The 25,444-nt window shown below is 39.1% G+C and overlaps 1 protein-coding gene across 2 annotated transcripts in view, besides 5 other annotated features; it reads left to right on the top strand.

The window, feature by feature from the left end:
• Positions 1,529-1,638: a silencer, noted in NCBI's record as "silent region_5225". NCBI's record gives its function as "represses an Ori minimal core promoter by ATAC-STARR-seq in GM12878 lymphoblastoid cells {active_cell/tissue: GM12878}" and the evidence as "EXISTENCE:reporter gene assay evidence [ECO:0000049][PMID:35858748]".
• The window catches only part of UBL3 (ubiquitin like 3), an 86,247-nt gene continuing 62,486 nt past the window's right edge, over positions 1,684-25,444 (top strand). Inside the window, exon 1 of one of the 2 annotated variants that reach the window (NM_007106.4) lies at positions 1,684-2,789. In NM_007106.4, coding sequence (NP_009037.1) covers positions 2,763-2,789 — 27 coding nt within the window. In that variant the 5' untranslated portion in view covers positions 1,684-2,762. Of the gene's footprint in view, positions 2,790-2,868; positions 3,268-25,444 lie in introns of those variants that run through there. The other variant, XM_047430394.1, reaches the window with a different exon arrangement.
• Positions 1,769-1,838: an enhancer, noted in NCBI's record as "active region_7526". NCBI's record gives its function as "activates an Ori minimal core promoter by ATAC-STARR-seq in GM12878 lymphoblastoid cells {active_cell/tissue: GM12878}" and the evidence as "EXISTENCE:reporter gene assay evidence [ECO:0000049][PMID:35858748]".
• Positions 1,909-2,208: a silencer, noted in NCBI's record as "silent region_5224". NCBI's record gives its function as "represses an Ori minimal core promoter by ATAC-STARR-seq in GM12878 lymphoblastoid cells {active_cell/tissue: GM12878}" and the evidence as "EXISTENCE:reporter gene assay evidence [ECO:0000049][PMID:35858748]".
• Positions 2,509-2,578: an enhancer, noted in NCBI's record as "active region_7525". NCBI's record gives its function as "activates an Ori minimal core promoter by ATAC-STARR-seq in GM12878 lymphoblastoid cells {active_cell/tissue: GM12878}" and the evidence as "EXISTENCE:reporter gene assay evidence [ECO:0000049][PMID:35858748]".
• Positions 3,049-3,118: an enhancer, noted in NCBI's record as "active region_7524". NCBI's record gives its function as "activates an Ori minimal core promoter by ATAC-STARR-seq in GM12878 lymphoblastoid cells {active_cell/tissue: GM12878}" and the evidence as "EXISTENCE:reporter gene assay evidence [ECO:0000049][PMID:35858748]".

The raw sequence follows: 25,444 nt of genomic DNA, 5'->3' as shown, positions 1-25,444 counted from the left end.
GGGGGCTGGTGTAGGGGTAGGGGGACTCTGTGGTTGCTAAACATTGCAAATGAGCAACCAAGTAACAAAGGCCATGGAAAATCACGTAACTATGGACTTGGAAATATCTAGACAAAGTCCTGAAGCCTAATCACAGTGAGATTTGGGCCTCTCTTCTCTTCTGGCCTTTGGTTTTTCGGAGAATTTGATCTATCTTCCTCAGGGTGATATAGGCCCTTAGGAGTGTTTGGAATTTCTCCACCCAGGCTACTCAAGAGGCAGGTACTCTAAATGTCCTGTGGGTTTCCAACTGATGAGAAACCCAACTGGAGAGATTGCTGTGGGGAATCACGTAGGCTTCTAGACAATGAGCTCCCTGAGGACAGTGACTGGATTCTGCCTCTTTTCAACAGCCCTATAGACAAGGATGTAATAACCCCCATTGCCAACCCAAGACCTTGGCATTTCTGCCACATGATGCTGCTGTTCGCTACAGTGACTCATTTTTAAACTCCTAGTGCCTAGCAGAGTGCCTGGCACATTTGTTTGCTGAATGAGAGAATGAGTAGTGACATTTCATATCAAATGATGCATTATTATTTACAAAGTGATTTATTTCCCATGCATGAACTCATCCTCATAACTACCCCTACTTTACCCCGGAAGGTAGGCAAGACCATTTTACAGATGAGGTCACACAGCTGTAGGTTGGAGAGGTGGCTTTCAGACTCTAAATTCATTGGCATTTATATATAGGCATCATATTGAGACTGCCCTTTCTAAAGTACTCTGTCAAAGGACTAAGAGATATGAATAGGGATTCAGATGTTGACCTCAGATTTAGGAACAAAATGCAGAAATCACAAATGTCCATCTGAATGGTGTCTCAACAATGGCATTATTTTCTCCTATTTGCTAATCACTGCAAGGCATATAGGTTTTCAATTACATTATGAGTTACATAGAATAGAATTTAGGGTCCAGATGGGTAAACTGGTGAATCCCCATGAAGTTTGTAGTAGCTATTTCCTGATACAGATTTGATATAATAACACTGTTGTATGTAATACAGTTTTGGTAATTTCAGTTAAGTAGATTGTAGCTTTATTGCCCTGGGTCTTCAAGGAAACACATGTTCAAATATTCTCACTGCTTAATGAGATCCTTGTTCCTGTTGAACTTATGTGACCTTATTGGAAATCAATGATTGCTTTTGTTCTTCAAAATGTAATGTTGAGGAGACCTAGATGAAATCACTCTACAAAATGCATTGAGATTGCAGGATGTGGAGAATGTGCTGTAATTAAAATGAATGATTCTGCTTGGAGGTACAGCATATTTTAGCTCTGTGTGCATATCGTGCATAAGGGAATTTCTCTATGCAGAATTATTTTCTCCCAACAATTCTCATGATCACAGCACTCCTGGTAGCAGGTATCACTTAACTCCTGGGCAGCAGCTTGTCCAAAGCAAGGGAAAGGGAGCTTTCCTTTCCTCGCAACTGTTGCTATGGGGGGCGTGGCTTCGGAGCTGGGTGAGGAGGCGTTCGGCGGCTCCCTCCCCCCCCCACCCTCGTAGACTACACTTCCCGTGATGCTCGAGGGAATGGTCTCCGTGGTGACGCACTTGGTGTCCGCGGAGGGAGGACGAGGACGGGGGCGGCGGCTGCTGCGAGGGGGGGCCCGTGCTCTCCCCGTTTCCCTTAGTCGCACTCAGGCAGCCGCCGCCGCCGCCGCTGCCGCCATGTTGGTTTGAGAGGCGATGACAGGAGGCGGCCGCGGCGTGTGGGACTGAAAAGTGAAGGAGGAGGAGGAGAAACAAAGCTCTGAGAGGAAACCATTCCCGGGCTGAGGAGAAGGAGGACCCGGCCTCTTCCGGGGACCAGCCGAAGTCGGCGTCGCCCGGAGCTCGCGAGGCCGGGGAGGGGAGGGGAAGGGAAGGCGGAGACCGGGGAGGCGGCGGCGGGGAAGGCGGAGGCAGAAGAGGAGTGGCGAGGAGCCGGAGACGATGCGCCCCGACCCCAGCTGCTGTCCGGAGGCGCCCGCGGCCTGAGCCCAGAGGGGCTGTGGAGTGTCCCGGCCGGCCCCGAGCACCCCCGCGCTGTCGGTCCCCCGCTCCGGTCTTTCGCTTTGGCTTCCAACTAGTTAAATGCCCTTGAGCGCGGGTTTCCGCGGCCCGGCTCTTCGCCCCCGCGGCGCGAGTTGAGCCGTTTCCCCGCGCTGTCCGCGCGGGCGCTCCGACAGCGGCTCTGCAGGGTCCGCGGCCAGCGTCCGGCCACCGCTCGGCCGCCACTCAAGGCTCACGCGTCGATGTGTAGCTACATAGTTATCTGTGTACATCCACGCTGGGGCATTTTTCTCCTGCTTAATGAGGACTTGACTCGGGAGCAAGTGTGAATCATTGCCGGGGCTGGGAAAGGAGGAAGGCGCATTTAACCCCCTCCCACCCCTCTCCATGTCCGTGTGTCACTCGGCTCGGTCCACCTGGCGCGGCCGGTCCTGGGGCTGCTGCTGCTGTTGACGACGACGACGACGACGGGGGCTGCCTCTGCTGTCCCGGGAGTTTCCTCCTGCTCCGGCCACACAGCTCCTGGGGATTGTTCCTCTTCGAACCAGAACCTCGGCCTGACCGGCACTTTGGCTCCAAAATAACTTTATTTTTGGGGGAGAAAGCACATCACGAACCAGTCAAAATCGTGGTTTATTTCTGTAACGTGAAGACTTCTGCTCTTTTTTCTTTGTTTGTTTTTTTCGTAAACATCTGGGTGTATATCAAACGGCAAGATGTCCAGTAATGTCCCGGCGGATATGGTAAGTGACGGATAAGTTATGACACTGATTTAATTGTGGTTTCCAATCTTATTTAATCGGAAAGACGGCAGGCGTGGGGCGAAGATTTGCTGGGGACTGTCGAAAAGCCACTGTGCTGAGCGATTTGGAGAAGTTGGAGCTTCTGGTTTCCCCCTTTTAGGAAGTACTGCTTTTAATATGGGTTCTCTCATTTGGTCGTGTTTTCTAAAGCATTGAAGATAGTGGAGAAGTAGGGAAATGTATCATGGTAGCTTGAGGGGACAAAACATCTCCCTCTTCGCTAGAAGCCTCCGAACACTAGTATTTTAACGTTTCTGAAAACGTCAGGGACAGTGGGCAGAGCTGAGGACGGGTGTCCCTACGAGAGAATAGGTAGGGAAACGGGAATCTTGCTTTATGACACAGACGAGATCGTCATTGCAGTAGGGACGAACTTGATATTTTTCAAGAACAGGGATGCACATCTCTTCAAGAAAAAGTATGTTAGAATTTGCTGTGAGGTTTTTGAAATGTCTGAATACGGATGGCAACAGAAATATAAAGATATTTTGGGATTTTCAGAAACGTAGGCTGACCCTGTATTGGTACTTACAATGAATATTCCAGGGCTTTTTAATGCCAGATATTTATTAATAGTAGATTCCATATTAGACATAAAGCTAAGGAAACATAGTATTGAGCCTCGATCACTGAGTGTTGAGAACTTGAAACAAAAAGTACTGTTGTTTATTGACGCCTTTCTTTGTTTTGTTTATAAAGGGTAAGGTTGTGAGTCGGTTGACTAACAGTAACCGTGTAACCTTACAGTGCTGGGGCTGGGCTTGTGTGAGTGTGAAGTTACATTTTGCAGTCCTAAGGACAAACATAATGCATTTAATTACCAGGAAGAGGAATAATCCTGTTTATGAAAGAATTGAAGTTAACGTAGTTGTGCTCACATATGTTAACATTTGAGTGTTTGTGTATTCAGTGGAAACAAATTGAACTTTGCTGATGATTAAATTTTATTTTATTTTTTAATTTTAATTTAATTTTAATTTAATTTTTATTTTTTGAGACGGAGTTTTGCTCTTGTTGCCCAGGCTGGAGTGCAATGGCGCGATCTCGGCTCACTGCAACCTCTGCCTCCTGGGTTCAAGCGATTCTCCTGCCTCAGCCTCCCAAGTAACTGGGATTACAGGTGCCCACCACCACACCTGGCTAATTTTTTTTTTTTTTTTTTTTTTTTTTTGTGGAGACAGGGTTTCACCATGTTGGCCAGGCTGGTCTCAAACTCCTGACCTCAGATGATCCACCCATCTTGGCCTCCCAAAGTGCTGGGATTACAGGCGTGAGCCACTGCGCCCAGCCTGCTGATGATTAAATTTTAAAACGCCAGATGTTTCTAGAGGAGCAAACCTCATATACAGATTTTATAACAAAAATTAAATGATTCTAAATGGCTTATTTTGACCTTGGTTTAAAGGAATTTTGCTCTTGTTTAATTTCCCATTGAATGCAAAGGAAACACAGTGTTCTGTCTCTGGGGGTGGCCACATAACAGCTTTACAGTCTCCTTCCTGAGTCCTAAAACTCGTGCGTTGTCCTTTTAGTTTTCGCTTCTCTTCTGGTGTGCACACATGAAATAGCCTCCTGCCTGGTTAAGTACGGCTGGACAAGCTTTCCTCCATACTGCTCTTGAAGTTGCCGGGAGCGGTCTCTAGACAGAGCTGGGAAATGCTATTTCCCTTGTTTGATGAGTGATCTGTGGGTTCATCGCCTCGAGCAAAGATTTGCTCTCTCGAAAGCCTCCATTTTATATCATCAAGCACAGTGCAAAATAGGTTAACCTTAAGTACCGTCTATTCTCTCACAGACGTTGGAATGAAATAGATGTGTTATTAAAACAGTGCCGCTACTTCCTTTAGGTCCAGTGAAGAAAAGCTGGAATGTGCGTGGCATCAGTCACAGATTGAGATGATTTGGGAAATACTGTTTCCAAGTCAGAGAGAGGGTTTGGAGGCTGATGTTAGGATCAGAGGACTGGGAAGTAGGAGCAGGGTTTTATTAATATCTGCAATTATAAAATATAACAGTTTATCTGTTTGAGACTGGATGTTAAGGCCTTGATTCTGTGGTGCTTTGAGATCCTTTGATTAAAGGTGATATGCAAGGGCAAAGCAATATTATGTAATAAATATATAATGCCCTGATGATGCTATTTCAGAGTGGGTACTAACGTACAGCACAGGTTTGATTGTTCTGAGTATTTTTTTATGTCTTGTTTTCTACTGTTCAACTGGTTAGAGGTTAAGATTTTCTCTTTGTGAAAGTCTTTTAAACGTTCGTTTATTACTTAACTTTGCATTTTTGCTTAAGAAGTCTATCATTTGCTATGTGCCTAGAATTCTCAACTTTTTGAAATATAACATGACAAATACTGGTTAGAAGTTGTCGATTAAATGCTTCATGATTATTAAACTCTTAATACCATGAATTGACAATTGATTTTAGTTTACATTCATGACAACAATTTACCGCTCCAAACCTTGAAGAGCTCCTCTCACCACTCCCACAGCAAAGCTAATGACATATATCCCTTGCAGCATAACTCTAAATTGATCAGGATATGTACTGTTAAATACATTTTTGCTAGATGCAGTAAAATGTTAAGCTTTCTCCTAGTTGACAGTATGTGCTGTCAACTGTGCTGAAACAAATGTTACACTTTTTTACTTTTTGGTGGTGGTGTCATTTCTATTGAAGTCAATCTTTTATATGTTAATGGTGCTTGTCAGTTGTATAGGAAAATCCTGTTGGGGAGATGGGATGGAGTGGTGAAGTTAACCCCTATCATGTTTCCAATAGAGATAATTTATTCTCGAGCTACAATAATTGCTAAATCAATTGATGTTTTTGGTAAAGTCTTTTTATGGCCGTGATTATGACTCACTTTAAAATAGATTTTTTAGCTTTGGTTTTTGTTTTGTAGGTAGAACTCCCATTTAAAATTTATTTTTGAACATCCAGTAAATTTTTGTGTTTAGCATAAGGAGTCTCATTTTTAATGATCCAAATGTCAATTTTTTGGATGAGGGAGTGGCACCCGTAGTGAATGGATTTGCTGTACCCTTTAAAACATAATTTGTAGTTGGTACTTTTACTACATTCTGCAATATATATGTCCTATAAATATTACAAGTGTATTTACTTGAAATGTTGGTTTTTCTTTGCTAAGAGTGATTGAGTTTGAACTAGATTTAATAACATCTTAGTGTAGTAACTTATTTGTGAAAAAATCTGAAAATATCTCAACAGAATATCATTATAATATATTGTATTTAAATGATGTATTTATTTATTTATGTTGCAGCCAAGATCATAGTTCATGATGCGGCTATATTCATTGTTTATAGTTGCAGTGTGACTTATGTTAACCACTGTAGGTTTTTTGCAAGAAAATATTTACTGCCTGTGTTAGTAATAAGGCCTAAGACTGGGCAAGCAATGGTAATTTTGTTTTCTGGATTGGTAAAGTTATCAAGAAATACATTCTTGTTTTTATAAGAGTATTGTATACAACATTTAGGCTACTATTTAGAGCTTTGGACTAAAATTATACTTTATCTATTACATTGAAAACTTTAAGAGAGAAATTGACAGTGTGAGAATAATGGCAAAGCAATTTTGTGATTCAAAACATTTTAGTTGATAAAACGGTCAAAGAAAAGCCCCGTATCTTTAACAACTGTAATGTAAAAATTGTAGCAGATCAATTTGTAATAGGAGTTGAATCAGATAATGACAATTCAAGTTTTTTCCAGTATATTTTATGTGCTTAATGAATATTTTTATTGTAACTTTTGTTATATCACTTCCATTCATGTAAGAATTATTGGAGCCCTCTTGTGGACAGGAAATTACTAAAATACATTTCCTTTCAAAGTGAACTTTTATCACTTTTCCAAGTTAAAGTAAAATGACATATGTTGAATATACCAGGAGAAAATGCCATGAAAGGAAAAGGTCCAGAAAATAGAAAAGTATACTGAGATTTAATGCCCAGGGACTTTTTCCTCTTTAGTTACAGCTCCTTTTTATTTTTCTTTCTATTCCTGATGATTCTTATTTCAGGTTTAAGTTGGAGGGTTTTATAAAGCCAAAAGGTAGATAAGTACTGTTTACATATATGTGTGACTTGAATAGCTTAATAAATAATATATTAAGAATTGAATGTTTCTCTGAATTTTTACTTGAATGTCTCCTATTTGGTATTTTGAATTAGACATTTTTATTAAGAAAACAGATGACATTGTTTCCCACAGCTTTGAATTCCTTCTTTCTAGCTCTGAATCCTACCCCAGCTTGTGTCTAAAATGGTCTTTAGTTCATTTTAGGCCACAGTGATCTTTCCTTCTTGTAAACCATTTTTCTTTAGTGCTTTTGACATTCCTCTTACACAGGTATCAAATTTCTATGGATATAGTATCACTTTTATTTCACCTCTGATATTTTTTAGACATTCAGAAATTGTTGAGTGACTTTCTTGACTCACAAACTATTACTGTCTTCGTTACTTACAGAAAAAAATAAATATTGTTCCGTAGTAATAGTGGTGTTAAATATGAAGTCTATAATGTCTGCTTCTGTTATCACTTGGAATATGAAAAATATATATTTATAGTATTAAAACTTGAAGTTATTTTAAATTAGTGGATAAAATACTGATGGTGCTAATAGTTTTCACAATATAGAACATTAAATATGTTTTAGGAGACTGAAGCATATACTTAGTAAATGTGCTCTTTGATTTTCTAAGTCATCTTATTCTGGGAGGGAAAAATGAAGAGTGACTGTAGAATTCATGGTAACCTGGAAACCTTGGGTAATAAGTCATTCCGAACCAGTAAATTTTCTGAATACTTGGAGGTTGAGTGTTAAGATAGCCCAATCTAACAATGTTGGATTACCATTGCATTTGCTTAAATGAAATATACTATGCATAATTTAACTTATTTTTGATGACTTAGAGCTATGATTTGAATAATATTGCTTGCATTCAATCAGTGTTTATTGGGTACCTGTCTGTGTAATATGGTAGTAGTATTAACAGGCATAAGCTACAACTATAATACCCTCGGCACCTAATATAGATTGTGAAGCTTTATGCCCCTTCACTAGATCAGTAATTTACAAAATGAGGTGAAGCAAGTCAATTTTGAGAAGTAAATATGAGAACTTCTGTTTGTTTATTTTGTCCCCCAAAAGGGAAAAGAATTGAGCTTTTCTATTCATACTATGTGAATTGGCTGTGAGGTTCTCCTAGGTCCACCTGCATTCAGGTGGTCACTGAGAGTGTGGTTTGCTGAGGGAAGATGTGTGAATTCTAGAATGTAGATGCCAGCAACAGCACCATGAGTTTCTCAGAGTTTTTCCAGTTTTTCTGTTATATAGTCCCTTTAAAAATACTTTTTAAAAGAAGAATCTATGATACTTCTTATTGAGATGGGGAACAGAGGTTTGCTGTCAAAGCATTTAAGAGTTGTAGAACTCAAAGATTAATCACACATTTTTATTACAAAAGATGAGTATTCTATATGCTGTTCTTATCCGTGATGACAAGAGGCTACCAAAAATAAAAATCTAGCGGATGTGTTTGGGAAAAAATCCCCAAGTTGTCACTTCAAGGCAAAATCGACATTTTAAACAGTAAGTGAGAAAGTACCTGCTTTTCAAAAGAAACATGTTATGGAGAACATTTTGAAAGCATGTTGAAGTATTTACAGTCTGTTGAAAATCTTCCTTACAATGAATTTTAATTGACTTTGGACCATTTATTGGAAAGCCAAACATTTTAATTTGTAAACATTCTTATTGCAGTCAGGAAAAAGAAAATTTTAATAACATTGACATCAGGTAGCTGACTTTGAATAAAAATGTTTGCGTATTTGGTGATAGAATGAAAAAGTAATATGATTTAGTAAGTTAGTAAGTGACATGTTCTTCTATATAGATCTCATCTTTGTAAGATAAGTTTTTCAGGTATGACTTATGACAGCTCTTAAAACCAAGTGCAAAATACATTGAACTTCACAAAAGAAGAAACTAAGATTTAAAAAAATGGAGATATATTTAATAATAATGCTCACCTAATATGTTAATAGTAATAGCATTTTTAGTGATTGAAAGATTAAAACAAGTTAATATTTAAAATAGTTGATAGTTAAAATAGTAAAGTAAAAACAAAATTTTAATCTTTTAATTTCTGTTTTTAGTATATGTTTTATACTATGTGTATGTTTATAAATGAAAACACATATACTATAGGTATGTGCCTCAAGTATTTTATATTTGGGATCTTCAGTCAAAAAAATGTAGGAGCCACTGCACTAGATGACTAAAGATTTCTGAGCATTTTAACTTCTTGTGTTTGATAGTTAGAAGTTTTCTGTCTCCTGCCTTGTTGAGCAGCTGTTTTTTCCTGTGATCAGTGTGCCTACTTATTCCTAACCATTTACAGTTGCTGGTTTTAATTTGCTATGGGTGTGGAAACCATATTTCCAAAGTTTATTAAAAATAATATGTGTTTAAAATGAGCAAATGGTGTCTGAGTAGGATTTTAGGAGTTACCTCACAGTAAAGTGAGTATCTTTTGTTTCATGGACTTGATCATATCTGTTTTGGTTGCTTAGAATTCTCTTTTTAGGAGGGCTAATTTTCTGGCTGTTAGTTATGTTTTGCAGAGATGCAGTTTCTTGATAGTGAAGAACTGCTTAGGTGATAAAAAAATTACACATAACTTTACTTTGAGCTCGTAGAGGAGAGAGAACTAATATTTGTTGTGTACTTTCTAGTACCAGGCAGATGCTTGGCATTTTACATTATAGCATTTAATTTAATCCTTACAGTCACCCTGGATAAATATGGTTGGTATATAGATAAAGAAACTCTTAATACCCACCAGGTGAAGACCACCAGGAATGCATCTGTGGTGAAACAAGTTAGGTTGACTGTTTTGCAGCTAGGAAGAGCGTATGCCAGATCCTGCCAAGTGTCAGTAAAAGAGAATGGGAGGGCTGGGCACGGTGGCTCACACCTGTAATCCCAACATTTTGGGAGGCCGAGGTGGGTGGATCACTTGAGGTCAGGAGTTCGAGACCACCCTGACCAACATGGTGAAACCCCCATCTCTACTAAAAATACAAAAATTAGCTGGGCATTGTGGCAGGCGTCTGTAATCGCAGCTACTCCGGAGGCTGAGGCAGGAGAATCACTTGAACCCAGGAGGTGGAGGTTGCAGTGAGCAGAGGTTGCAGTGAGCTGAGATTGCGCCACTGCACTCCAGCCTGGGCGACAGAGTAAGACTCTGTCTCTAAAAAAAAAAAAAAAAAAAAAAAAGAAAGAGAATGGGAGGAGTTTTCAGTAGGGTTTGGGCTGTGCTGGAAGCAGGGACTCCTGGACTGAATGCTATCGTACATCAACTGGAGGTGGGTTAGTAATTGGGTCTTTCAGCAGTCTTTGTTTAGGAGACAGGATAAATGAAGGGGATTTGGAAAGTCATTGGTGAGAAAACATAATCACTTACAGAATGGGAGATTGTTGGTCATTTTGGAGCTGCAGTGTGGCCATAGGAAAAACTTTTTACCTGTTGGTCTTCTATCTTTCAGATATCACAGTCTGATTATCAACCGAGCTCATTTTTACTTTCTCACAGCCTAGGTTCAGAGAGGGTAAGGAACTTGTTTGAGATCACATAGCGAGGAAGAAGTTGAGCTAGAATAGGAGTTTGGGTCTGGTGGCAATAGTGATAAACATCTACACCCCTCCCCACAACGGTAACTGAGCAAACATTACTGAATCCCTCAGGCACATTATCCTAAGAATGCCTTAGATTCCTTCCCAATACCTTGCTCCAGGGAGTCCCTACTGATTGGTCTGAGCTAGCATGGTAGAAATGAAACCTACTTCATATATCTTTGTAATAAACTATGTAACATCTGGATTGGAATGATTTTAATTAAGGTTGGTTGTCTTACTAATTGGTAAAATTAAAGGGAGTTTCCTTTAAACTTGTTGGAACTTTGAGTCTTCTTATGTATATATTTGTTACACAGTGGATTTTTCTTAAAAAGTACTACTTTGAATGCTTTATATATATATGTAACAAATAGATTGACTTGTAAAGGATTTAGTGATTTCGGGGCATTTTGTTTTTGTCTCCATACTTTTAACTGCATATATATATGTAGAGAGAGAGAGAGAGAGAGAGAGATTCTCTATTGGTTGGTCAAATCTAGTAGCATTTTTGGTCTTAAGTAAATATATATTTGGGTAATTTTCTGACTAGATTTTGAGAAGAAAATGTTCTTTCTGCTGAAGAAAATTGTTGAAGTTTGACATTAACATTTTTGTTTATGTACTTAAGATGGCAATTTATTGTGTCTAGACAAAATGTTCTTATGATATATGTTTTTCTTTACTTTCATATAAAATTAGTGTTTTTCTTTGCCTTAGAAATAGTCTTGCTTTTGTATCCTGCTATTCTCATTGTCATGTTAAATCAAGTTTAGCCTAAAGCTGCCTCCTTACATATTTAAAGCTCAGCCTATATTATGAACATCTATCTATGCAAATAAGTATAGAACCGTATTATAATTTTGAACCGATTATGATAGATGTATATAAATTATTTAGCGAATTCCATATTCATGAGCATTTAGAAGCTATTACAAACAATGACATAATGGATATTCTTAAACATATCTCTGTGCCTTGTCTGATTATTCCCTTAGGACAAAACTCTTAGTAATGTAGTTGCTCTGTCAAAAAATATGTGTTAATTTTGGGATGGGTGGGAAAGAGAAGGATATATATTTCCTAATTTTAAAACATCCTTGAATTTCTGGATAAACCTAGCTTTTAATTTTACATTACTCAAATGGTATATGCTAGATAATACTTCATTGAGTTTTTTTTTGTTCATGAAAACAATTGGCTAGCAATTTTAATTTCTTGTAAAGTATTTGACAGATTTAGGTATCAAGGTTATGCTGACCTCATAAGATGAGTTGGGAAATGCTTTTTAATACTCTGGAAGAATTTGTGAAGATTGATTTTATTCCATCCACAAATGTTTGAAAGAATTCACTGGTGAAGCCCTCTGGAGTTTTCTTGTGAAGATTATTGATTGTATTTCGTCAGTACATAAAAAGCTATTCATATTTTCTATTTCTTTGTCAATTTTGACAAGTTTTGCTTTTCAAGAGATTTGTCCATTTTGTCTGAATTTTCCAGTTCAGCTTAAGGTTTTTGTGTGTGTGTGTGTATCCTTTTATAATTGTTTTGGTATTTGTAGTATCTATGATCTCTCCTTTTCAAAATCTGCTTATTGTAATTTGGGTCTCTTTGTACGCAGTCTTTTCAGAGTCCATTTTCAGATAAATGTTGTTTTTAACTTTTTACTGATTTCTGCCTTTACCTTTATTTCTTCTATTTAAAAAAATGATAATTTTCTGTACTTTTAAAAGTTTTTTGAGATGAGTACTTAAGTCATTAATTGTCAGCTTATTTATTTTTTAAAATCTTCTTTTTTTTTTTTTTTCCCCCGAGACGGAGTCTCACTCTGTCGCCCAGGCTAGAATGCAGTGGCTCCATCTCTGCTCACTGCAAGCTCCGCCTCCCGGGTTCACGCCATTCTCCTGCCTCAGCCTCCCGAGTAACTGGGACTACAGGCACCCGCCACCACGCCCAGCTAATTTTTTGTATTTTTAGTAGAGACGGGGTCTCACCGTGTTAGCCAGGGTGGTCTCAATCTCCTGACCTCGTGATCCTCCCGCCTCAGCCTCCCAAAGTGCTGGGATTACAGGCGTGAGCCACTGCGCCCGGCCTATTTTTTAAAATCTTTTTAAGAGATGGGGGTCTCACTGTGTTGGCCAAGCTGGTTTCTGAACTCCTGCGTTCAACTGCTCCTTCCTCCTTAGCCTCCCAAGTAGCTGAGAATACAGATGTGCAGACCACTGTGCCTGGCTCCTTTGTGGGGTTTTTTTGGAATATTTTTGGAATTTAAAAAATGTATATGAAATTCCCTCTAAATGCAACTTAGATGGATCTTACAAGTTTGTTGTATATTATTTTTATTATCATTCAATAAAGCATATTTTAAAACTTCCCTTGTGCTCTCAGCATTTGGGGATTTTCTAGCTATATTTTTGTTATTGATTTCTAGTTTGGTGTCTGTTGTGGTCTGGAATCATTCTATGATTTCACTTGTGGGTAATTTGTTGACACTTGCTTTATGGTCAGTTTTAGAAAATTGACAGTGTGCCATATATAGCAATTAAATTTATTAATCATGTTCAATCTATTGTATCACACTTGACTTTTTTTGTCTTTTTTAAATCACTCAATTGAGAAACTTGTGTTAACATTGCCAAATATGTGAGGATTTGTCTGTATGTTTTTAGTTCTCTCAAATTGTGCCTCATATTTGGAGGCTAAGTTATTAGCTACAAATAAATTTATGATTGTTCTGTCTTCCTGTCTAGTAACATTTTTTGCTTTAAAGTTTTTTTCCAGAGGGGATGTTAATATAGCATTCTTTTTTTTTCTATCCATTTCCTTTAAATCTCTCTTCGTCCTTATACGTAAGATGAATCTCTTTAAGCATCATATAGTTGGGTTTTTGCTTTTTTACTAAGTTTGATAATCTCTGGTTTACCTTTAATGTAATTACTGTACCACATTATTTGGGTTTGAATTTACAGTTTTGCAATTTGTATTTTACTTCCATCATTAAGTCCTTTATAACTTTCCCTTCCATTTTGTTTTCTTTTGGATTAATCAAACAGTTTCCCATATACCTTTCTCTCAGCTTCTCTGTTATAAATTCTTTTACTATCTTTACTGGTTAGCATAGAGATTACAATGTTCATCTTTAACTTTTTTGTCTGTCATAAATTTTTGCCTTTGCCACTTCAGGGTAATGGAATGGCCTTTTAATTTAATTCCATTTACCCCTCTTCCAGTCTTTGCTTTGTTTTCAACCCCAAAGATGTCATTATTATTATTGTTAAAGTAATTATAACAGTGGTAATAAGAGTAATGTTGTTGTTAAAATAATCATTGCTCATTTCACTTTGTCCTCAAATTTACCTTTCTGGAGGTCTTCATTTCTTTCTTTTTGATTGTATGTGCATCTGGGTAATTATCGTTTTATCCAAGGAACTTTTAGTGCAGGTCTTCTGGTAATGAATTCCCTGTTTTGGTTTGCCTGAAAATGTGTTCATTTTACCTTCACTTTTAAAGGGTCCCTACTTTATGCACCTTCAAGATGTTATTTTATCATCACCTGGCTGCCACTGTTTATGTTAACTCAGGCTTTTGATTTTATTGTTACTCCTTTGAAGTTAATGTGTTTTCCTTTGGCTGTTTTAAAGATTATATCTTGTCTTTGGTTTTCACCAATTTTACTATTGATGTGCTCTTGTGTAGCTTTTTTTTTTGTAATCTACATAAAGCTTGTAGAGTATCTTGAGGTCCTGAGTCAATCTTTGGCTTACTATCTTTTGTCATTTGGGAATTAGCTAAAATTATTATTATTATTATTATTATTATTATTGAGACAGAGTCTTGCTGGTGTGCAGTGGTGCAATTTCAGTTCCCTGCAACCTCCGCCTCCTGGGTTCAAGTGATTCTAGTGCCTCAGCCTCCCTAGTAGCTGGGATTACAGGCGCATATCACCACGCCCGGCTAATTTTTGTATTTTTCATAGAGACGTGGTTTTGCCGTATTGGCCAGGCTGTTCTCAAACTCCTGGCCTCAAGTGATCCGCCTGCCTCAGCCTCCCAAAATGTTGGGATTACAAGCATGATTACAAAGTGTTGGGATTACAGGCATGATTACAGGCATGATTACAAAGTGTTGGGATTATAGGCACCTGGCCCGGGAATTAGCTAATATTCTTTAAGTATTATTTCTATTCAATTGTCTTCTTTCCTTATGGGACTACAATTACGTGTATGTTAGGTCATGTCACTGTTTCCATTCTTTTTTCCCCTTCTCGTAAGCCTAGAGATTTTCTAGCAACCTATCTTCATGTTCACTTGTATTTTCACTGTCCAGTATCCAGTTATTTCTAATTATTGAGTTTTTAATTTTAGTTTTTGTATTTTTTATCCTAAAATTTACATAGATTCAAATTCTTATGTTTTCATCTGTTTTCTTGAGTATATTAACTACTGTTGCAAAATTCCTGTCTGATGACCGTCATACCTAGATTGTCTGTGAGCCTGTTTCTGTTGTTTTGTTTTTGATTATTTGATCCTTTTTCCTTGGGTGCCTGGCAATGTTTTATTAACATTGTGATGAAAAATTATAGAGAATCTGAATTATGGTTATGTTTCTCCGTATAGGATTTAATATCCTCTGGTGAGTAGTTAGAAAAACATTGATTACTTTGATTCGTAAGTGACTGATAAGACATGAGCCTGAATTCAGGGCAGTCAGGAAATTCTGATAGCCTCACTATTGGTGGACTACTGGTGTATAGCCCTTAGCTAAGGTCTCAGTTGAAAGTTTGCCATGTTTACCAAGATACCTCTTCCTTGGCAAGTCCTGAATTTCAGGTATCATGAGGCTGATGAAAGCTATTTTTAAAACCTCTTTTCAACATCTTTTTGTTGGGATTTTCTGAATTTCAGTCCATGCTGTTTACAATTCAGCACATTCCTGGAGAGGAAAAGTTGAACAGAATATTGGGCCCCTTTCTTTGAGGTTCCTTTTTATTTTCCTGAGATCCTCAATTCCTGGCCCTTTGGTGGTACAACATCCACTTTTTGTGTCTTCCCAGCCCAGTGAGATTCATACAAGTTCTGGGATGCTGCTTTCTGCTTGGCCTTTTGCTCTGTACTGGTAATTGGCAAATACCTCAAGGGGGAATTGAAGGGAGATCTTCAAAGTGTTTCCCTTCTCTAAGGGATCTTGGCTCCTCAAGTCCTGACCCTTGGTTGTTCTCCGGAAACCTTCAAATAGCTGGGGATTTAGGGGCATTTTATATCACTTTTATAGTTGTTTTCCATGGGAAATTTGGTCTGATATTGCTGTTCTCTCATAGGTAGCCTAATTGCCTTTTCTTTTCGTACCCTGGTTTTATTTTATTTATTTATTTATTTATTTGTTTATTTATTTATTTTTGCTGTTTTGTGCTGTAGAATTGGCAGTCCTCTCTCTCTTTTATCCTTCTAGTTGCTAAGAACTGCTAAAACTAATTACTATGTTACTTACCATGGCACCATCAGCCAAGCAGTTGCTTAAGTCAGACGTCTCTTGGAGCCATCCTTGATTCCTCTCTTTTCCTCATTCTTTATATTCAGTCACTTTCAAAGTATATCTAGAATCCATCTACTTCTCTTCATCATGCTACCAACCTAGTTCAAGTACCCTCTCTCTCCTGGACTATTGTATTAATCTTGGAACTAATCCTTCTACTTTGATTCACATTCCCTGTAGTACCTTTTCCAAAAATACCTTGAGTGTTTTCCATTGAAGAATAAATTTCCATAGAATAAAATTACAAATCCTTTCCTTGGGCCTTCAGGGTCCTGCATGATCTAGCTCCTGTCTAACATGACTATGTCATCTCATTTGATTTGCTATGCTTTAATTGTATTGGCTCCCTTTCAGTTCCTCAAACATGCTACAAGCCCTATCCCACAGCAAGGCTGAGTCTTTGCCTTGGATATTCATCAATATACTTTTTTTTTTTTTTTTTTTTTTTTTTTTGAGACAGCGTCTAGCTCTGTTGCCAGGCTGGAGTGCAGTGGCGCGATCTCAACTCACTGCAACCTCCGCCTCCCAGGTTCGAGTGATTCTCCTGCCTCAGCCTCCCGAGTAGATGGGACTACAGGCACGCACCACCGCACCCAGCTAATTATTGTGTTTTTAGTAGAGATGGGGATTCACCATGTTGGCCAGGATGGTCTTGATTTCTTGACCTCATGATCCAGCTGCCTGGGCCTCCCAAAGTGGGAGCCACCCACTGGGAGTTACTAGGATTACAGGCGTGAGCCACTGCACCTGGCCTGGATATTTATCAGCATACTTCTATACCCTCTCTGCATCACAGAGTCTTTGCTTAGGATGCTCATCAGTATACTTCTATACCCTCTCTGCATCTGCATGGGTAGTTTTTCTTTCTTCAGAGAAGCTTTTCCTGACATCTAAAGTTGAGAGCCTTTACTCCCTTGGTTTCTGTTGCAAGACCATATTGATTTCTTCTGGAGCATGTATCACACTTTGTAATTCAGTTATTTGTCCTCCCCAGTAGGCCATAGATTCCAGGAGGGTGGAGATATATATATATATATATATATATATATATATATATATATATATATATATATATATATATTTATATATATATATATATTTATATATATATATATATTTATATTTATATATTTTATTTGCTGCCATGACCAGTACTTAGTATAGTGCCTTTTGTATAGTAGATTTTTCATAAATGTTTGTGGATTAAAGGAGTAAGATGATCGCTTACAGACACTGTGCCAAGCTTATTACTTGAAACAAATTTAATCCATCGGAAAACTCTCAAAACAATCCTGTCAGGTAGGTAGGTGCTACTATTAACTTCATTTCATTGATAGAGAAAGTGAAGCTTAGTAATGTTTGATTATTTTCCTGAAGCCAGCTAGCTAAGTAGCCTTTTTTGTGTTCTTGGAGTTTTTACTTTTCTAACTTTTTGACCATTCTTCACTTTGTCATATCCTCTTTACTATATTTTAAAGCCAGTGGTTACAGTTATACTAATACTCTGATATTTCAACCTCAGCTTCTTGCCTTTGCTTAACATTTAATTTTTAACATTTTAAATTAGCATGTAATTTAATAATTTAAATGTGAATTTTAACATTTTTTTATCATTAAGCCAAAATGTCAGAAAATAAATTTGAAATTTGAATGGAAGTTTTGAGAAAGCATTAACTGAAGTTTGGTGTCTTTAATAGGACTTAAGTACTTTAAGTGGTGGATTTGCTATGTGGCTATCAATTATTGTGAGTGATTTTTCCAGCTATAAAATCTTTCTCATTATTTTGTGACTGTAAAGAGAAAGACTGTATTATAATTATATATATTTGAATATATTATGTCATATATGAAGAAAACATTTTTGAGCCTTTTATATTTAAAGAACTATTTAGTTATCCATATTTTTTCATTTGAGCATCCAAAAAGATCAACAGATTTTTCATGTTAGGTATCATTTTTATGATTACATACTAGTCTACATGTATTCATTCTGTTCTTCTTACTCCTTTTTTTTTTTTTTTCTTGAGACAGAGTCTTGCTCTGTCACCCAGGCTGGAGTGCACTGTGGCGCGATCTCAGCTCACTGGAAGCTCCTGGGTTCAAGTGATTCTCCTGCCTCAGCCTCCTGAGTAGCTGGGATTACAGGCACGCGCCACCTGTGCCTGGCTAATTTTTGTAGTCTTAGTACAGACGGGGTTTCACCATGTTGGCCAGGCTGGTCTCGAACTCTTGACCTCGTGATCTGCCCGCTGCGGCCTCCCAAAGTGCTGAGATTACAGGCGTGAGCCACTGCGTTATTTATTCAGACAGTCAATAAGTACTTGTTGAGTACCTCCTATGTGTCAGATGCTTTTTTAGGTGCTGGTGTATAGTGGTGAATGAAGCAAACAAATCCTTCTCCTAATAGAGTTTACATTTAAATAGTAAAGATACAGACATTGAACAAAATAAGTGAAATATATTGTATATTAGATGGTGGTAAGTATTACAGAGAAAAATAAAGCAGTAAAGGGGGTTGGGAGTGCTGAGTATGTCTGTGTTCAGTTTTAAATAGTGGGATCAGGGAAGGGCTCACAGAGATGTTGACATTTATGCAGGAGTCTAAAGGAGGTGGGGAGCAAGCCATGCAGCTATCTTAGGGAATTATATTGTAGGCAGAGGGAATATTGCCTCATTGGAGTCTTTGTTCTTTTTAAATCTCACAGTGTGTCTTCTGCCATGTTCTCAAATTTTTATGTTTCTTGTGGTATTTGTTTTCTGTCCTGTGTGATCTAAGTGGTCTCATTATTTTCCTCACTAATTTGGGCAGCAAACATTTTTGGGTGCCAGTGTCCTAGATAGATCCCATCAATAAAGCCAATCATTTTTCTCTAATATGTTTCAAATCAATTTCCTCTTTTATCTCCACTACTTTTTAACCCGATCTCCATCCAGACGTCTTTTTATTTTAGTCATCCACTGCGGTCCGCCTTCCACCGTTTTCCCAGATTTGTCTATGGAAAATACAGATCTCAGTGTCTGACTGTACTACCTACTAATGGCTGGCTATCACTCACATGCTAATCCAGGCCAACCTTCTTACCATGACAGCATTAATGCTCTTGTCTTGGCAGTTGGGCCGCATTCCAGCCTCATCTCCTGTTGGCCCCTTGTATGTACCCTGTGTTTGAGTTGTAATGAACCCCTGCTTGTCCATAATCTTTCTTTTAACTCCTGTGCTTCTCTCTCATCCTTTGCAGAGCCTTCACTTTCTGCTTAAAGTGGACCTTGACTTCTCTTTATCTTGCTCCATTTGCACCTGAAACTTGTCCTCAACTGCAGTGCTAATTCCTTGGTAATGTTTTATAACTTTGTCAGGCAGCTAGACACTGTAAGTATAGAACATGCTGGGAAATCCAAATTAAAAATGACAGTTGGCACAAAGCTGACTTCTGGGAGGGACCAAGGAAAAGTAGCCAGAGTGGCAGGATAGCTGCTTCCATCACGGATTGCCAGCAATGTAAAGCGTAGACTCCAGAGGAACAGTGCTAACTTAAATTAACTATGCAGGCATCAGTACTTCTGGTTCTGATGGCCCGGGGATTTCTAAGTAGTAGTGAGTCTCAGCATTATTTGTTATACAGTCTACTGCTAGATGAACAAGGCTAAGTCTACAGAGAAGGTAAATTATAGAAATTAGGCCCCGTCTCTACTAAAAATACAAAAAATTAGCCGGGCGCGGTGGTGGGGTCCTGTAGTCCCAGCTACTCGGGAGGCTGACGCAGGAGAATGGCGTGAACCCGGGAGGCGGAGCTTGCAGTGAGCCGAGATAGCGCCACTGCAGTCTGGCCTGGGCGAAAGAGCGAGACTCCGTCTTAAAAAAAAAAAAAAAAAGAAATTAGGTAAAAGGATTGGAATCTTAGCTAATTGGTCTGAAATTCAGAGCTAGGCCACAGAATTAGTTGCTCTTTCATAAATTTCATTACCTGTACTCTAGCAATTGTAAGTGTTTTTATGTGTTTCTCCCACTAAACAGACTATGTACTTACTCTGAGGGCAGAGAGGCCTCATCTTTCTAAACTGCTGTGTCTAGCACAGTGCCTACTAAATAAGGAAAACTCAATGAATGTTGAATTAGCACTGCAGGTGTCTGATAGAACTTAGCACAATCATGGAAATGTTCTTTATTGTGTCGTCTAGTAAGGTAGCCACGTGCTGGGCTACTTGTGTCTATTGGGCACTTTCTTCATGGCTAGTGTTTGAGGAAGCGAATTTTTACTTATGTTTAATTTTAATGAAAATATCTATGTGTATCTAGTGGCTACTATTATTGGACAGTGCACTTGTATGGTTTATATAATACTTTCAGTGGACTAAAAAGATCTTTGACTTTTTTTGTTTTTTTGTTTGTTTGTTTTTGACTTGTATTCCAAGTGGTCCCAGACTGCTAAGCTTTTTGTTTTACTTTTTGTGATTTTTTAGTTTTTTTCTTCTCTTAATGTCAGCGTTCTTTTTTTTTCTATCATTAAGTAAGCTGTCATCAGCCTTTCTTTTAACTTTTCTGATTTTAGTCAACTATCATATAGAAAGACATATAATCAAGCTTGTAGAATTATCTTTTTTTTTTTTTTTTTCTTTTGAGACGGAGTTTTGCTCTTGTTGCCCAGGCTGGAGTACAATGACGCGATCTTGGCTCACCGCAACCTCCGTCTCCCTGGTTCAAGCGATTCTCCTGCCTCAGCCTCCCGAATAGCTGGGATTACAGGCATGCACTACCACCCCGGCTAATTTTGTATTTTTAGTAGAGACGGGTTTTCTCCATGTTGGTCAGGCTGGTCTTGAACTCCTGACCTCAGGTGATCCACCCACCTCGGCCTCCCAAAGTGCTGGGATTACAGGCGTGAGCCACCGCGCCCAGCAAGAATTATCTTTTTTAAAAGAGCAAGTAGTATAGGAATCTGTGAGTCATTTTACCTCTCCTTAACTTCTGTAAGAGTGTGAAATTACTCATCAGGAAAGAAGAGAAGTCTAAAAAGTATAAATTTTTGTGAGCATTCAGTTGAAAAAATATCAATATGAGATTAGATGAGTCACCAAGGGAGGGAGGGAGGATACCCTGAAGGCACAACCCCTCTATTTGGGAAAAAGGGAATTATGAACGTGAGAAAAGGAACAGAGTTATAGGAAAAAAGAAAAAAAAAATGCTGGATTGTCATTTAAGGCATATAGGGAGAAACTCAAGGAGGCAGATTTGTCAACAACAGCAGATACAGCAAGGAGGTGAGGAATATTGTATAATTTGGTGAAAGCTATATGGGTCTCAATATATTATCAAGTATTTCAATGTGGTCAAGAGTGTTTTTAATATAATTCTTGTAGTTTTCTTCCATACTGATATGCTAGGCATAGAAGGATTCAGTATGTGCATTTTTTTGAAAGTCATTTTTTCCATTCTTGTGCCTGTATCTATATTTTCCAAACACTTTCTAATTGTCAAAATACCTTTGCTTTGCTACTGCATATAATCAGGACAGGCATTAATAGTACTTGCTTTTTGCTCTGAAATTATTCCTTTTTAATCTTACAAAGGTGAATATTTCTATTACAGAATAGTAGGGCTGTTGGTTCAGTAGCAGTCATCTAGTTCATGCTTTGATGCAGAGATTGCGAAGAGATGTTGTTTCTTGTTAAATTCTTTGTACCCAGAGAAGGAGTTTTACTAAAAAATTGGGAAATTAGATTCCCAGCTGTCATAGGAGGGAAGCAAATGGCTTTTTCATTCCCCAAAGTACTGTCTACCTTACTCCTTTGGGACTTCGAACAGGCAGCCAAGAAAAATCAAAAGCTGGGAAAACTTTTTCCCTAAATACCTTTATTCTGGGTTCATTGATAAGTTGTATGTACTGCAGATTGCAGATGTAAGCCTGTTATTATATTTTTGCTTTTCAAATTATGGCAACACATGAGTCATTTCTGGAAGAAATGCTTACATATCTCATTTCTCAATTAGAACCACTAGATGGACAGCTGAAGTCTCCCTTGAGTAGTTCAAGTGGCTATCCCAGGATGGACAAAAGGGATAGCAGTCTACTCTGAAACTGTAAAACCCTTTTTTTGTTCCCCAGGTGACTTGAATAACTTATATAACTTATAATTACCTGAGAAGCACACCAAAAATAATCACAAGTGCAAAAGGGAGGTTTTCCAGAATAGGCACATCAGATTATTACAAAGAAAAGAGCAATGGTATATCCACTTTCGCTCTGTTTGAAAACATAGTATATGTGTGGTCACATATTAGATGATTAATTTAAGCTAGAAGAGTAACTTTCCCAAATTGACCATTCTTAACATTTTAAGAAAATAATTTAATTAAAAATAATATGAGTAGGGGGTGGTTCCAAGATGGCCGAATAGGAACAGCACCAGTCTACAGCTCCCAGCCTGAGCGACGCAGAAGATGGGTGATTTCTGCATTTCCAACTGAGGTACTGGGTTCATCTCACTGGGGCTTGTCATATAGTGGGTGCAGGACAATGGGTGCAGCCCACCGAGCGTGAGCCGAAGCAGGGCGAGGCATCACCTCACCCGGGAAGTGCAAGGGGTCAAGGAATTCCCTTTCCTAGCCAAGGGAAGCTGTGACAGATGGCACCTGGGAAATTGGGTCACTCCCACCCTAATACTGTGTTTTTCCAACGGTCTTAGCAAACGGAACACCAGAAGATTATATCCCGCGCCTGGCTTGGAGGGTCCCACGCCCACGGAGCCTTGCTCATTGCTAGCACAGCAGTCTGAGATTGAACTGCAAGGCAGCAGCGAGGCTGGGGGAGGGGCGCCCGCCATTGCTGAGGCTTGAGTAGGTAAACAAAGCGGCCTAGAAGCTTGAACTGGCTGGAGCCCACCACAGCTCAGGGAGGCCTGCCTGCCTCTGTAGACTCTACCTCTGGGGGCAGGGCACAGCCGAACAAAAGGCAGCAGAAACCTCTGCAGACTTAAATGTCCCTGTCTGACAGCTTTGAAGAGAGTAGTGGTTCTCCCAGCACGGAGTTTCAGATCTGAGAATGGACAGACTGCCTCCTCAAGTGGGTCCCTGACCCCCTAGTAGCCTACTGGGAGGCACCCTACTGGGAGGCACCCCCTAGTAGGGGCAGACTGACACCTCACAGGGCCAGGTACCCCTCTGAGACGAAGCTTCCAGAGGAACGATCAGGCAGCAACATTTGCTTTTGAGCAATATTCGCTGTTCTGCAGCCTCCGCTGCTGATACCCAGGCAAACAGGGTCTGGAGTGGACCTCCAGCAAACTACAACAGACCTTCCGCTGAGGGTCCTGACTCTTAGAAGGAAAACTAACAAACAGAAAGGACATCCACACCAAAACCCCATCTGTACGTCACCATCGTCAAAGACCAAAGGTAGATAAAACCACAAAAATGGGGAAAAAACAGAGCAGAAAAGCCGAAAATTCTAAAAATCAGAGCGCCTGTTTCCCTCCAAACAATGCAGCTCCTCGCCAGCAAGGGAACAAAGCTGGACGGAGAATGACTTTGACGAGTTGAGAGAAGAAGGCTTCAGATGATCAGACTTCTCCGAGCTAAAGGAGGAAGTTTGAACCCATTGCAGAGAAGCTAAAAACCTTGAAAAAAGATTAGACGAATGGCTAACTAGAATAACCAGTGTAGAGAAGTCCTTAAATGACCTGATGGAGCTGAAAACCATGGCATGAGAACTACGTGACAAATGCACAAGCCTCAGTAGCCGATTCGATCAGCTGGAAGAAAGGGTGTCAGTGATTGAAGATCAAATGAATGAAATGAAGGGGGAAGAGAAGTTTAGAGAAAAAAGAGTAAAAAACGAACAAAGCCTCCAAGAAATACGGGACTATGTGAATAGACCAAATCTACATCTGATTGGTGTACCTGAAAGTGATGGGGAGAATGGAACCAAGTTGGAAAACACTCTGCAGAATATTATCCAGGAGAACTTCCCCAACCTAGCAATGCAGGCCAACATTCAAATTCAGGAAATACAGAGGATGCCACAAAGATACTCCTCGAGAAGGGCAACTCCAAGACACATAATTATCAGATTCACCAAGTTGAAATGAAGGAAAAAATGTTAAGGGCAGCCAGAGAGAAAGGTCGGGTTACCCACAAAGGGAAGCCCATCAGACTAACAGCTGATCTCTTGGCAGAAACTCTACAAGCCAGAAGAGAGTGGGGGCCAATATTCAACATTCTTAAAGAAAAGAATTTTCAACCCAGAATTTCATATCCAGCCAAACTAAGCTTCGTAAGTGAAGAAGAAATAAAATCCTTTACAAACAAGCAAATGCTGAGAGATTTTGTCACCACCAGGCCTGCCCTAAAAGAGCTCCTGAAGGAAGCACTAAACATGGAAAGCAACAACAGGTACCAGCCACTGCAAAAACATGCCAAATAGTAAAGACCATCAATGCTAGGAAGAAACTGCATCAACTAATGAGCAAACTAACCAGCTAACATCATAATGACAGGATCAAATTCACACATAACAATATTAACCTTAAATGTAAATGGACTAAATGCTCCAATTAAAAGACACAGACTGGCAAATTGGATAAAGAGTCAAGACCCATCAGTGTGCTGTATTCAGGAAACCCATCTCATGTGCAGAGACACACATAGGCTCAAAATAAAGGGATGGAGGAAGATCTGCCAAGCAAATAGAAAACAAAAAAATGCAGGGGTTGCAATCCTAGTCTCTGATAAAACAGAGTTTAAACCAGCAAAGATCAAAAGAGACAAGGCCGTTACATAATGGTAAAGGGATCAATTCAACAAGAGGAGCTAACTATCCTAAATATATATGTACCCAATATAGGAGCACCCAGATTCATAAAGCAAATCCTTGGAGACCTACAAAGAGAATTAGACTCCCACACAATAACAATGGGAGACTTTAACACCCCACTGTCAACATTAGACAGATCAACGAGACAAAGTTAACAAGGATATCCAGGAATTGAACTCAGCTCTGCACCAAGCGGACCTAATAGACATCTACAGAACTCTCCACTGCAAATCAGCAGAATATACATTCTTCTCAGCACCACATCGCACTTATTCCAAAATTGACCACATAGTTGGAAGTAAAGCACTCCTCAGCAAATGTAAAAGAACAGAAATTATAACAAACTGTCTCTCAGACCACAGTGCAATCAAACTAGAACTCAGGATTAAGAAACTCACTCAAAACCACACAACTGCATGGAAACTGAACAGCAAGCTCCGGAATGACTACTGGGTACATAACGAAATGAAGGCAGAAATAAAGATGTTCTTTGAAACCCATGAGAACAAAGACACAACATACCAGAATCTCAGGGACACA

The sequence above is a fragment of the Homo sapiens genome, chromosome 13, assembly GCF_000001405.40.
Source record: "Homo sapiens chromosome 13, GRCh38.p14 Primary Assembly".
NCBI classification, from domain to species: domain Eukaryota; kingdom Metazoa; phylum Chordata; class Mammalia; order Primates; family Hominidae; genus Homo; species Homo sapiens.
This window is presented reverse-complemented; position numbering and strand designations above follow the sequence as displayed.